This window comes from Homo sapiens, chromosome 5, assembly GCF_000001405.40.
Source record: "Homo sapiens chromosome 5, GRCh38.p14 Primary Assembly".
Taxonomy (NCBI): domain Eukaryota; kingdom Metazoa; phylum Chordata; class Mammalia; order Primates; family Hominidae; genus Homo; species Homo sapiens.
Genome location: NC_000005.10, coordinates 59529471 through 59545252, shown reverse-complemented (window position 1 = coordinate 59545252; position 15782 = coordinate 59529471). Strand labels below are relative to the sequence as shown.

The 15782-nt window shown below is 37.4% G+C and overlaps 1 protein-coding gene across 26 annotated transcripts in view; it reads left to right on the top strand.

Annotated features, from left to right (window-relative positions):
- Positions 1-15782, top strand: part of PDE4D (phosphodiesterase 4D) — a 1553091-nt gene that overhangs the window by 976876 nt on the left and 560433 nt on the right. The gene's annotated exons all lie outside the window — the stretch shown is intronic.

Sequence of the window (15782 nt, the reverse complement as noted above, 5' to 3'; positions counted from 1 at the left end):
GCCTACCAGGTTCCAGGCACTGTTCTAGGCACTGAAGATGAAAAGATGAATAATATGGAGTTCCCATCTTCAAAGAAGTTACAATTTTAAGGAAGACTGGCAAATAAAAGTTACCCCACAAAATAATAAAAATACAGGGGTAAAACTAGGGCATAGTTATATTTTGGCTGGTCTCTTTACCTCTGAGGTTCTTTTGCTTTTTATGTAATTGGATTTTAACCTCAGAAGACTGTAAGGTTAAAGATGATAATGTATAAAATCAGTACTCTGAGTAATGATCAAAATTTTCTGTTGCCATCCACACATTTGAGTGAGATGTAGTGAGTGCTAGAAAATAAAGCAGTTCGTATCAAAAAGGGTGTGTTGAAAGAAATAAACTAATCCTTGAGAAACACTGTCATGCAATCTCATATCTAGAAATTGTGCCTATGTTCTGTCTATAAATTGATGAATTGGCAGGGTGTTACATTTAGGACACACATTGACACTACATATGACATTTGTAAAAACACTTGCTAATTCAGCTAACAGCTCGCTTCTCCCCTTCTCCCCACTACTCACTGTGGAGAGAGCTTCCAGCTAATAGCTTAGAATCTCCCAGACTAACCAACCATTGATGGAACCAGGTGCTATGTGATTGTAGGAATTTATTTGTTGCTCTGAATGTTAACTAAAAGTAATGGGCTTCTTATTTTGTCCTTTTCCTTTTGTGTTATAGACGGCAAAGACTGTTTCTCATCAGTCTCATATAGCTAAATTAGATTTATCTCTCATGCTGACTGATTAAAAGGGTTAAATTCTGGGCACGTTGTCCCCTGAGTCCTCTGAAATCCATGTCAGAATAGAAGTGCTCATTACCAGACTCGATGAGGAGCTCCTTTTCCAGAACTTCTCTCTGCTACACTCTAAGGACCAAGCACCTCTGCCTAAATTCCAAGCAACCATGGCCTGTGGCAGTCTTGGAACTTTTGCCCTCTGGCATGGGTAGAACTAGCGTCAATTGGGTAATTCAATCCCTGAGTTCCTTCTTCAATGAATGAGAGAATCCAGGAATGTGTTGCCAGTTGCCTTTTCCTTGTACCTAGTTTTCCTTGCTGCAGAATGATGACAGTCTATTTCCACACCTCCCCTCCTGCCACTACAGGATTTATGGTCTGCATGCCCCAGTTGTGAAGCTGGCATGTAGCATTTTGTTGCCACAGGCCTGTGAGTGTTTAGAAGTTTGTGTTTGTATTTCCAGGGCTACAGTTTGAATATTGAAGGAACAAACAGCAAACAATTCAGAGGTCAAGCTGTGACTGCTTCCTCATTTGGAGAGCTTATTTTATGTCTGTATATTCTATACTCAGATTCCCACATAACTTGTTTTTTCCACCTTCATTGCTTTGGTTAGATGCTTTCAAGTGCATTTTTTCTCTAAGAAATCTCCATAGAAGAGTTGTTTACTTGAAGTGATGGGTGAGCAAAGTTTGCCTGACGTGGAACCTCAGTAACTTTCCCCTAAGGAAAAGTTCTGGCGTGTAGGGGTGGGCGCTCTTCCATCCAGACGGATGGGAACATAGCCAAGCAGCCAGGAGACACATTGACTTGTGACCACTGGGAAGGATGCCTAGCCAGAAAAGTCCCAGCAGCTGGGTCTGTTAATCTTTTCTGAATGAACCAGCAGGCAGTTGACCTCTCTAAACCTGTCCTGGATTCCTTTATATCTTTGTAGTCACCTTTTTACCCCCTCAAGAATTCCCCTATAAAGTTGTTCTTAATAAGACTCTTTTTGCCCACTTCCCCCTGACCTTCTGAGTTGAATATGAATTTCACTAATTGGTGAAAGAAACCACCATGACCTTGATAAAGCCATTTCTACTCTGGTTCCTCCCTTCTAAGAATTTGTTCATTCAAGCAAGTATTTGAGTCTAAATGGATCCACTTGGACATTTTAATAATTATCATGAACCTCAGTATCCTTAAAGTGTGGCTAAAACAGGCTCAAAAAATTCAGATAGTGTAATCTACTTTCTCTCTCCCTCCTCCAGATTTAAGTGGATTAATTCACTTCACTATGCCAGCACCTGAGTACAGAATAATTTATTTCTGTGTCGTTTCATGATGAAAGTCCAGCTGGCATTAGCTCAAATTATGCAGCTGGCTATTAATTGAAGAAAACTTCCCTGTCACTCCTCAGTCAAACATGATCTGATTCAGCAGATCCTTTTCACTCTCATCTCTTCTATTCTACCAGTAGAATAAATGTAAATAACTTTCACTTGGCTCTGCTTGTCATGGATTGTAAATTACCTGGCAGCATGCAGACTGACCACATTACTGTTTTGGAGGCGGCTTGTTTCAGTTGATTAGTATTTCTAGAAGAGTTTTGCACATTTCATCTCTGAGGCCTGAATGATGTCCACTAGCAGGAAATATTGTAGTCTGCCTTTTTTCTTACATACTGTATACTAAATTTCAATCTAATTTCAACAAGATGTCAAATTCTAGCACCTGTAGGGCAGGTGTTGGTCTTCTATGAATTGATTATATGTTTTTCTATCATACTGGATGGTGTACAAGCCCAGGTTGTATTTTAAATAGAATTTCAAGAGAGAGATTTGTTCTGGAATTTAGAAATATATATTATGTGCCAAAATTATTTGATGAGTGCATTTTGTAATTCTTAAAATACAAAACTACTTGGCATGAAGAGATGCTATAGTATGTTAACAATTGTGGAACTTTTTCATAAGATGAAATTCTGTGCAGAAATGAGGGAGCAGAATTCTTGTGGGAGTGCTAAAATGGTTCATCAATTTGATCCTCACAGCATATGAGAATTCACCAATTATATTACTCTCTGAAAATATGTTTCAGTATCAAGGGCCTCTTTTTGCCCTTCCTCCATCCCAATGTCTGTACTCTCTGTACAGTGTGATCACTGGGTGCTGCATGACCAGTCATTATTATACGCTCAGCCCTGAAAATGAACTTAAGATGGTAAAATCATACCTTGCCAGGATTTGGGTGGCTGTGAGGGATTCAGTAGGATTTTAGCAACAGGGACTGGAAAAGAAATCAGAACTTGGCAGAGAAAAAAATAGCACTAGGATACTAGAAGAGACCTGGGAGAACTAGCTTGACCTTAGAGGCTGGTCTTGTGAGTCATTTGAGAAATAGTATCAAAAGGGCATAAGAGGGCCCGGCATAGATTAGGCTATTTGGGGTTACAGGAGATCCAAAGCTAGAAGGGGCAACAAAACATTGTGGTATGAGGCCATCCTAATTTGAACATCAGGCACAGGATCTAGTGTCCATGAAGTAGATCTCAGGGAATGGGCAGCCTGAGAAGAAGAGTAGATCATGCAGAAGCCAGCAGTCACCCCTAGATCCAGATCTGAGTGTCATGACCTAGATGCAATTAAAATCCTTATAATGGGTCCCACCCTGGCAGGATTCTTTCAGGAACTCAGGCTGAGCCTGAAGTGAGTAGATTCAGCTGAAGGGAAGGTAAAGAACTATAAGTTGATAGACTTGCAAAATGGAGAGGCTGCTTTTAGGAAACCATTGATAATAGTATCAATCCCATTGATAATATATGTGATTGCCCTTTTATAAGGCCATGTGCTTTCTGCACAATTATGATAAAGTATTTAGCCAAACTTGTATTCCCTATATAAAGGGGGAGGAGATAGTATCCCATGGGGAATTCCTTCCCATATTATAAACTGGTAGACAACTTAAGCAAAAATGTTTTTACTCATATGAACACTGTTGAAGTATAAAGCCAGGTATTTAAGTCATGATAGGTGTTTATTTACTTTGAACATTTGCCAGAAGTTTGATGATGGGTATATTTGTAGACTGGGTGTTAGAGGTTGTTATATTCTAAAAAGATATCTTCTGATTAATTTTCTTCATTTATAAAAACAATCTATTTTGATAACATTTAATTTATGAACTTTGGTGTCATGTTACACTTTATACATTTTGGTTGTACATTCCCTGTAATGCTTACAGAGACAGCCAGTCAGGCAATAATTGCTACATACTGAGCGCCTTCTATTTTCTGAGTACTATTGTAAATTATAGAGATAAAGCAGTGAACCAGACAGAGTCTCCATCCTAAAAGAGCCTAGTAGAGGATGGGAACTGATGTAGTATCTTGTAATTGTCACAGCATGGTACACTTGCTTCTTCAGATGCCATTATTAAGGGCGTCGTTTCTTTAAATTCTGAGATCCCTAACTCAGCTTATGCCAGAACTGATGAGAATTAGACCTTCCTAAGGTCTTCTTTCTTCCTAAAATGAATATTGAAATAAATCTATAAGATAAAAATAATCCTACCACCAAGCCCCAATTAAGACTGGATTTTTAACTTGCTCTTCTCAGCACAATGACACAACAGAGGACACAGAGGTTAATGGAATGTCTTTGGAGCAAAGGAGATTTCAAAACCACCAGTTTGTTAGATTTGATGATCAGCTCTGCAAAATGTTTAAAGAAGATTTCTTACTCATATCTTATAAGTTAAGACTATAAATGGTTTAAATGGGGGAGGATGTGACAGGATTGAAAATCTTCCCCTTCCTTTGTGGCTATGAGAATTCACACTGAGCAACAGGGAAGAGAAGGAACTAGAACTTGGAATGAGCCTGTGTGTGGGCCCTCATTGTTCCAGGATTTACAAAGGGCTACGCTGTCATCATATTAAATAAATGGCTCCTGCTCCTTGTGCCAGCTTAATTGCCACCTTGGCTCCCGAACAAAGAAATCACAATTGAGGCAAAACATGTTTTGCTATTGAAGGCAAAACCTCCTTAGAGCAATTTTGGGGTTGTTTTTCCATTTAATTTTTTAACTTGCAGAAATAGCCCTCTTTTTTTCTGTTTTTTGGTTTTTTTTGTTTTCGTTTTTTTAAATGATGTACACTTGTGCTGTTAAGTTTCAGCATGGAATACAGGCTTTATGTATTTAGGCAGTAATGCTGAGTTAGATATTGGTACCAAAAAAAATGAAAGAAAGAGAGCAAGAGGACAGCACATGTCAAAATGCCTGATAGAACTGCATGGACAGAACTAAATGTGCTTCCCTACTGTTAGTTACACGTATAAGTCACATCTCAAAGCGTGTTCCCCAGGTTAGCATCAATATCACCTAGGAACTTGCTGGAGATGCAAATTATCTGGTTCCATCTCAGGCCTAATGAATCAGAAACTCTAGGTGGAAGGGAGCAGTCCAGCAACCTGCATTTTACAAAGACCTCCAGGACACTCTGATGTATGCTAGAGTCTGAGATCCACTGGTGCAAAGAATACCATAGGACAGATGTACACTAACTAAACTAGTTCTGTTTCTCTTAAAATGACTTTGACAATATTTAGAATTTTGAAGAATGGTATAGAAATTCATAGTTCGTGTGTGTGTGTTTGTGTATGTATGTGTCTGTGTGTGTGTGTTTTAGCAGAATTCTATTTTAGAAAATATGGGGTAGACTTTTATTTAGTTTTGTTATTTTTGTTATTTTTGAAAAATTAAGAGGTAAGCAGAGAAGTATAGCCAGCTACTTCCATAATTTTGTAGGAATAATGAAGTTTATTCTAGCAGAAAGTTATATCTTATGGAATAACTTCTCTAATATTCTCTCTAGACATATATTCTTTTTTGAGGCAGGAACACAAAAGAAAATTGGCTTCTTCATCAAGTTCAAAGAAATGGTGTTTTAATTATGTAGAGAAGTAATTTCATTTTCTCAGAGAAATGGGTAGACAGATATTAGTAATTTAACTCTCTTCTTAAGTAATGGCTGCTATAGCTCTTACCAACACTGAAAGAAGTAGAGTCAAATAGATTTAAATCTGGCTAGTGATTAGAATTTTTTGGGGGGTAGGGTGGGTGAAACTGTATTGCAGGGAGGTACGTTGTAATAAGACAGCTAGTTATTATGCACTACCCTCCAGTTCTTTGACATGATAGCTAAGGGCATAGACAAAAATCTGAACTCTGTGGTCTTTGTACATATCTGCATTCAGATTAATTCACTTAACAAATATTTGTGGAGCACCTACCATGGGCTTATCACTATAATGGGCTAAGGTTGTACAGTGAGCAAGATACTCACATATGTGATTCTTGTGAAGCCAGAGGTCCAGTGGTAAAGCTAGATGAGTAAACATCAATTACAATGAAGTATAATCACTTCCAGGATGAGGCAGAATATAGGATGTTATGCAAGCAGTCATCCTTGATTTTAGGACTGGGTGATGTGGAGTTCATGAATGGTTCATGGAAGAGGCACTAAAGCCTACAGTGTGAATAGAAATTAGCAAGATGATGGACAGGGCAGGCAGAGACAAGAGCATATGCAAAGTTGGAAAGTGGAGAGTTCTTGACATTACCACATTACTGAATGTGCATATGGTGGAGTTTAGGGTGCAGAGAGGACAGTTGCACATGCTCTGGAGAATGATGGGAGATGAAGCTGAGAATAATACAAGGAAGAGAAAATAACAGGCCTTGCTATCCATGTTAAGAATTCCGGACTTCATTCCAACAAAAGGGAAAGTCTTTGAGGTTGTAGTATTTGGCTGTGCTGTAGAGAGTGTATTGGGGAAGGACAGTGCTGAAGGAAAGGAGACCAGCTGGGACATTGCTGCAATAATTCAGACCGGTACTCATGGCTTGGACCAGCAGCAAGGGGAGAATGAAAAGTAAAGAGATTTAGGAAATAGCTACTTAGGAAATAGATTGAACGGGAACTGGCATTCAATATGTGTGACAGCGAGGAACAGGAAGACACTTGGGACAACTAGAAGAACAGTAGGCCATTCACTGAGTTTGGGGTCCAGCAAGAGGAGTGAGTTTGAGGGTGAAATTATGTGTTCCATTTGGGCTAGTAGGGTCTGAGAAGTCTGTGGTTGTCCAAGTAGAGATGTCCAATAAACTGTGGAAAATGCAATCCCTTAGGCCTCTTTATTCTCATAAATACTTCTCATGCTTTTTCACAGCAGAGGCTAAAGCCAAAAAACTTTTACAGTTGTTGATTACTCCCATAGTGATTGGGCCACTACTCTCGATGTCAGTTTTAAGTGTTATGTGAATTTTAGCGTTGCAGAATTTTAGCATTGCAGAATTTTTCTGCACAAAATCCTAGAAAGCAACTTAGTTTACTCAGTGAAACCTGCCTGCCAACTAACAAGACCTATTATTTTTCAGTTGGGATTTTACTTCAACAGTGGAAACTATGACACAACAGGGATGGTCTAACCCCAATTTGAGCACTCTGTTCTCATTTTCATTAGGAATCACTTCCCTGTAATCATAAAATGGAAATATATTTACTGTAGACATGTTGTTTGGTGAAAGCAACACTAAAAATGAGTAGATGAATATAACAGCTACAGGATAAAATAAGAGTTCCCATTTTTAAAAAGAAGGACTATGTTTACAACACAGCTCTCCTTAATGTTATAGTGTTATTATAGCAGTGAATTTTCAAATAAAATATTTAAATTGGAATGTTAGAAGTTTTCTTCTATCATATCAAATAAGTGGAAGGCCACCTGTTTGATGATTACATATTCAAGTGATAGTTCTCAAAAACTAAAGAAAAATCTCATATAAATTATAAATGATTCTGCAAAGTTTCACCTAACATTTTCTCCATACTTATGAAGCTTCTGAAGTTATTTTACTTTTGAGAAGCCACAGACAGAAAAATTAATATAAATGAGATAAATTTCAACTAGCCTTGAGAATAAAGAGAGCAAGGATAGTCATCAACACAATTAAGAATGACCAAATCCTATTAATGTTTTCAAATTACCAAATTAGAAAAGTTAGGAAGCATGAATAATTTATTTCTGACAACATATTCTTTTTAATATCTGCATTACTTTGGTCGGCTAAGGAGATAAACCTACTCATGTGACATACCATATGTAAACATTTTCCTAATTAATAACTGGAAAGCTTCTATGTGAAATACAAACTTTCTGCTCATACATAATGTAGACTACAGGCAGACAGTTAAGAGTTGGTCAAAGCTGTCAAAGCTTGTTTTATGGAAATCTCATCTTCTTTTCCTGTGCTCTTTATCCTAGTCCAGGTCCTCTGAATTCTTTTACTCTACAGTACTTAGCTAATACAGTGTTTATCCTCACATTCTATCATAGCTTTTATATTAACCACTCAGCAAAATATGTGTGCATGCACATACACGCACAACCATACCTATATTTAATCATCTAGTAAACTATATTAAATCTTCTGTAAACTTCAGATAAGCCTGTTTAAATTGGGGGTGGGTCGTATTGTAGCATACCAAATGGTTCATATACCAAGTATATATTTGTCATACTATGTGGAACAGTATTATATTTAAAACTGAAGTCTTATTTCATGTAGGTTGTACCAAATTTGTGGTGGTAAACATTGTATTTAGGTCATTCACAAAGAGTACAGAAATACAGATTAGCCATATTTTTCTATAGTGCCATTCAGTGTAATAGGTACACAATACATCTCATATTAAAGAAAAAAGAGTCTTTTCAAAAGCCTGTAAGGGTCTGAATAAAGGTCTTAGAAATGTGTCATAACAGCTGAAATCTAAGAGATTTGGAAAAAGTGGGAGAAGTTAAATATTGCAAATGCATAGAGCTAAGACTTCTTCATTGAAAGTTGGGTAGTTCCAACATTCATGTGGAAAATCTTTAAAAGTAGCCAAAAGGTAATTTTTTTTTTTTTTTTTTTTTTTTTTTTTTTTGAGGCTGAGTCTTGCTCTGTTGCCCAGGCTGGAGTGCAGTGGCATGATCTCGGCTCACTGCAAGCTCCGCCTCCCGGGTTCACGCCATTCTCTTGCCTCAGCCTCCCGAGTAGCTGGGACTACAGGTGCCTGCCACCACGCCTGGCTAATTTTTTGTATTTTTAGTAGAGACAGGGTTTCATCGTGTTAGCCAGGATGGTCTCAATCTCCTGACCTTGTGATTCACCCATCTCGGCCTCCCAAAGTGCTGGGATTACAGGCGTGAGCCACCATGCCTGGCCCAAAAGCTAATTTTTTAAATTTTCCAGATAGAACTTCATGTGTATTTGATATATTCCATTTTCGTGTATCCAATATTACCAAATCCATGGTATTTTTATTCTTTGTTTTAGATATTCTAATCATTTCACAGCACTTTCATTACACATCTGCCCAGATTTCCTGTTGCTAAATTTCAGACACTATTCTTTAAGTCTTGGAAGAGATCAACTTTTTCAGCACAACCCATCCCAAACAATGTAATGTTACTGTGCTATATTAAGACAACACATGTGCTGATCTTTTTCAGGCATTTCCAGAATTTTTATTGAATGTCAAGTATGTGCAAGGCAAAGTCCATCTAGCGATTTTAGGATTTCCAGGACCTGCCATTTATAAACTTCCTGGAAGAAAAATTAACCCCCTCAAAATGGGTGTTGACATCCAGTTTGCCTTTATAGCTCCTCTGATGCCTTTTAAAAACTATATTTACCCATCTTATGTCAATAAAAAGGATGTATTTATTATAAGTTGTGGCAGATAGTGTTTTATAGACAATTTTATAGCCCACGTGTTAAAGGTAAAAGCAAAGAAATTATGCTACTTTGCTGTATTTTCCCAGTGATTTATGTAAGTATTTATTCCCTGTAGGAAAAAGTTGAAACACTATTGTTGACAACAGGGCCCAAATAGGTATCAGCTTGATGTACTTTATCACATATTATCTTTTTGTTTTTGCATCATCCCTAGGAGGTAAATATGTAACACTTTGGTTTCATTAGCATCACAACAGATTATTAGGCAAATCAACAGAATGAAATTAAAGTTATATTATCTAATTGAAAAAAGCCTTCACTTATATTTTCAAGCATTAGTTCTTATCCACTTTCAATCACCTGGGGAACTTTAAAAAATCTGATGCCTGGGCCAGACACCCAGAAAAATGACATCAGACTTTCTGGGGACAGGACCCAGGTGACTGTATTTTTCTAAATGTCTTTCATGACTCCGCTGCTTTAGAGGTTCACAGACTTCCACTTAAAGAACTGCTGGTTAAGAAATGCATCCCTACTTGCTCGGACTCCCAGGGATATCACTTTTCACCTGTTCCTATCATTTAGAAAAAAATGATTTGAATCAGCTAGATACATGATAGAGGACCCCCCCCCCACACACACACACACACCAATCTAAGCACAAAATTATCTTGTTGTCCTCAATAGTTTGCATGGATAAGTAATGCAGAATAAGCATCATACCCAATATTAATAAATACTTAACAAGAAGCCCAAGATTTTACCTTGTTTCCTATTTTTTCCTTCAGCCATCACATTCAAACCTGGCCCAAAGGTTTCTCACATTCTGGCCTCCATCACCACCACTACTGCTTTGGCCTGGCCTTTTGTCAAGCTAGAAATTGCCAGAATTTCCTGACAACAGGCTCTGTAAGATTCAGTTTAGAGCTTACACTTTGGCTGGAGTTCATCTTCCTAAAAAGAGACTGTGATATGTAAATCCACAACCTGAAATCTCATTGGCTCTCCATTGCCTACCAATAACCCAAAATCCTCTACTCAGGAAGTCCTGGATGGTGTAACTCCATTGCACACAGGTTCATCCCACAAGGCCTCTTGGTAATGGGGTACTTTCATGTGCATACTATTCTGCTGCTCTTGTGGAAAGAGTCTTCAACCCCATTCTGTATACCCTGGACACTCACCTGAGACCCAGCTGAAACAGACCTTGTCATCTCGGACCCTGCCCTTGGTTCTGTTGAAAGAATTAGCCACCAGATCCTTGAGGCTGTCTCAGGACTTTTGCTTCACCTTTATTATAACAATTGGAATGCAGGCAAAATAGTGTTTCCAGTTACTAAAATAAAACTATAGACCATACAATATGTTTGTTTTGTGCTTATTTAACTCGCAGGGGAAAATACCCATATTTTTAAGACTCTGGATTTAAAAAATCTGGTTGATTATATGAGAATATTGTTGGCTTGTCTGTTTGATTTTGCTTTTTTTGGGTTGCCAATAAAATTTTAGAGCAAGAAAATCAATCTCTGGAAAATATGTCTAAAATGCAAGAGAAAATTCCAAGAAAATAAGCTAGATTTCAATTAACATGTGAAAAGCATTTCTTAATATATACAATGTTTATTTTACATGGATAATTTATGTAAGTTATTGAATAAATAATACTTTTAGGTTTGGGTTTTAGGGGAGGTTTTAGGTTTGGGTTGCAGCAGAGGCTTTTTCAGCTGATTCAAATATCTAGTTTTCAAAATACTCTGCCCACATGATTTTTAGATATGACTTAGCCTTAATTGCTGACTCAGATTTTCACCTTTTAAAAAGCAATTGTGCTTTTTCATATACACTATCAAACAAGATTATAAGATATTTTAAGGTAAGAAAGTAAAAGGGCATCCACTAATGATCATCAGAATCACCTGGAAGGGCCAATAAGCCACACATTACCAGGCCCCTTCCCCAAAATTTCTAATTCTGTAGATCTGTGGTACAGCCTCCAATTTTTTGCTTCTAATAAGACCCCAAGTGACACTAATGCTGCTAGTCTGGAGACCACACTTTGAGAATCACTGCATTAAATTAACAATTTTATTGGTTGAGTTTTCACCACAGTGTGCATATCTGTTGACTAACAATGAATAGCTTTGTTGTCGCCAAACACTGTAATGTTTCCAAATATCCATATGTAGTCACAGGCCCAGAGAAACAAACCACATCTATATTAAGACTGTTTTGTTGTTGTTTGACCCCCCCACCCTTTAGTGTTTTAATTACATCAATCCTGGAGAAAAATAACTGTTTTCTAATTTGGGCATTACAGATTTGCTAAGGCAATAGAAAATTCTATCTTAAACCTTTAGATTTTTAGTCTTCTAGTAAATATAAGCATATGAGTTCCAAGCAAATTCTGAGTTTTAAAAAATTTAATAAAATTGACAAATGTTTTCAATAAAATTGGAGAGGCCCATTTCCTTGTACAAATATTCTAAAAATAGATGATAAAAGTTCTAAGTGCCATTTTTTGAAAGATCAGCAAAATAATTCTACAAGTATTTGTGGGCATGTTATCTTTTCTATGATACTGGTTATAAACTTAAGTTATATGAAGACAGTGTGTTAGTTAAATTATGTTCTAGTCCTACCTTAAGGAAATAAAAACAATAAGGCTCTTAGGGCCTTTCTTCTGCACCACTGCAGTACTTGCTAACATGTTTTAATAACATGTAGCTGAGAATGATAAACTCTAGGCAGCAGGGTGGCTTGGAGATACTAATGGAAATGCCCAGTCAAAAAGAGCCTGGACTAGACTGAGGTCTGAAGACTCCAAATAACTTTCTGTTATCCCACCATCTTCTCAGATGGTCCAATCATGCTACACTCAGTCTAGGGCAATGACCCTGAGGAATGGTATGTTTGGCAAAAAAGAAACCAAAGAAGGCTACTGCCATGCTTTAAGATTTTCCCATATATCTTTTTCAGCATCTTGAATGGGGTTTCTGAAAGTCTGAGGAGTGAACTGTGACCAAAATGGCTGATATTTTGAGCTCAAAGAAACTTAAATTTTTAGGTAAGGATACTAAGACCGACTTAAAAAGTATAGTATCAATAATTTACATTTCTTTAGCTAAGAATTTTCAGACCACTTCAGTGCAGATCACATTGACTGATTCTCTAAACCACTCTATGAAGTGGGCAAAGTGATGGTCTCATTTTTCAAATGAGGACTAAGGTTTATTTAATTCAAGTGATTAACTCTTCAAACATCTAGTAGAGGCTAGCCAGATGCATTGGCTCACATCTGTAATCTCAACACTTTGGGAGGCTGAGGCAGGCAGATCCCCTGAGGTCAGGAGTTCAAGACCAGCCTGGCCAACATGGTGAAAACCCATCTCTACTAAAAATACAGAAATTAGCTGGGCATGGTGGTGGCAGGTGCCTGTAATCCCAGCTACTCAGGAGGCTGAGGCAGGAGAATGGCTTGAACCCAGGAGGCAGAGGTTACAGTGTGCTGAGATAACGCCACGGCACTCTAGCCTGGGTGAGAGTGATATTCCATCTCAAAAATCAAAACAAAAAAATCTAGTAAGGGTCTATGTCTAGCGCCTGCACTTCAAATATGTGTTTGTCATGACATCATTAGCCCAATCCAATTTTCTTTCATTAATTTTCTGAAATAAATATTTTTTGAGTTTATACTATATACCAGGTGCTGCTGTAAGTGCTAGGAATATAACAGTGAATCAAACAAATAAAAATCTGTGACCTTTTGGAGCTTACATTCCAATGAATATAGGCAAAATAATAGCCCCTGCAAAGAGCTCCACTGCCTAATCCCTGGACTAAATGAACATTACCTCACATGCAAAAAAAGATTTTGCAGATTTGATTAGGGGCACAGACCTTGAGATGTAGTGTCCGTATTAGCCCAGTGGGCCCAATCTAATCACACAAGTCCTTCTAAGCAAAGACTTTTCCCTGGTTAGGTTAGAGAGAGATGTGATAACAGAAAAAGGGTCAGACAGATGCAACTTTGTTGGCTTTGGAAATGAAAGAAGGGGGCCTGGAGCCAAGGAATGTGGACAGCTAGAAAGGGCAAGGAAGCAGATTCTCCCTTAGCCCACTCAGAAAGGAATGCAACCCTGAAGACACCTTGATTTTAGCCCATTGAGGCCTGTGTTGGACTTCTGACCTACAGAACTATAAAATGATACATTTTAATTGTTAAATCACTAAGTTTCTGATAATTTGTTACACCAGCAGCAGAAAACTACAGAAAAGATAGACAATATTCAAGAAAAATAAGTAAAAAATATATGTTGGATAGTGATAAGTGCTAAGGAAAAAAGTCAGGGAATGACATAGGAAGTTATCAGTAGGGATGCAATTTTGAATAGGGTAGCCCTCCAGGTTAACATTTGCATAGACTCAAAGGAGATGAAGGGCAAGAACATTTCAGATGAAGGAAACAGGAGGCTAAAAGCTGAGACTAGGACAATGATCAGCCTGACTAGATTCTGAATATCACCATTAAAAGAGCAGTTTCTACTTCAGAATATATGTACAAGCTTCACCTGGGAACCATGTGTGATGATTTAGGATGAAGTTTCAAAACTCCACAGATGACATTCTTATTTTTCTATAAGCAAACAGTCTTGCCCAAATAACATCATTTACTTTTTCATGTTTGCTGGAGAGTTCATTAAGAAATTCAATACACCGTATTCAAAGAAGATGAATTCTTACAATCACTTAGAATTTGGTCTAAGGCAAACAATTGAGGATGTTCAGACTGAGTCTTTTTGGACCATCTACTCAACATCATTATCAACCAACAGCTTATACCCCTTCAAAGGGATCTCAAATTATATTTGATCCTGAGTTGTTGCTATAATAAATTTAGAGCTGGAGAAAAATAGTCATTGTAATTATTTTGTTATTAGAGACCGGCTTACATATGCTAAATAAATAAAAACAAAATGAGAGTTAATTCTATGTGAAATTCACCATCAATTTTGATGAAATTTCCTATTGATACTTCCAAGTACAGTAGGCCTTTCGTATCCATGGGTTCCACATCTGTGTATTCAATCCAATTTTTTTTTTTAATAATATGGTTGTGTATATACTGAACATGTACAGACTTTTCTTGTCATTCCCTAAACAGTACAGCATAATAACTATTGACATAACATTTACATTGTATTAGGTATAAGTAATCTGGAGATGCTTTAAAGTATATTGATGTGTGTAGGTTATATACAAATACTATGTCATTTTATATAAGGAACTTGAGCATCCATGGATTTTGGTATCTGCCTGAAGACCTGGAACCAATCCCCAAAGATCCTGAGGGACCACTGTAATCTAATTGAGGCCAAGTTTCATGGGTTTGTATCCTCTTAAGTACCTGGGGGAAAAAACTGTCTGATTTTTTTTTAAGTTTTAGTATACCATATATTTTAATTTTCAAAGAAAGGAAAACAGAAATTTTATGATCTGTGTCAATAGAAGTGTTAATATATAAAGCAAAGAAATGCCTAGGTGAATATTGGCCTAGTAATAAACATTCTGCAATGGTGCTTCATGGGAAATACGCCTTACCTTGCTACTCAAAATGTGATCCATGAACCAGCAGTATGAATATCACCTGGACTTGGTAGAAATTCTTGGACCCCACCCTGACCTAGTGGGTAACCATCTGCATTGCAGTAAGATCCCAGGTGATTCATATGTGTTTTCAATGTGAGAAGCACAGCACTGGGGCCTTACCCGGGGCCCTCCTTAGGAAACACACCAAGTATTGCATGTTTTTTACATCCTGACAGGTCCATATGAACTCACATTTTTCCGAATACAGTGCACTAGCATATCTATCATATTTTGAAAAGCTATTTTCATCAAGGGAGCTTAGTATCTGGTGCTCACGAGATACCTACAGAGAAGTAGACAGTGTTATGCTTTTGAGAATTTATCAAACCTTTTGGTCATATAATGTTTTTATTTCAAAACCTTAAATTGGTCAACATATTTTTAAATATTTAATAGTTGAGGGATGAAGAGGATAGAAGTTTAATTAGTTCAAAGGAAGGTAAATTGGGAAGGAAACAAACTTTTTTGTTGAATCAGAATTTTCAGGATGAAAAAAGACACCAGTGCCCTGTGGTTCAGTGCTAACACAGCTATGATGTGACTCTTCAAAGGTCAATGCTTGTGCCCCTATTGCTGCACATCCTTCTCCTTGTC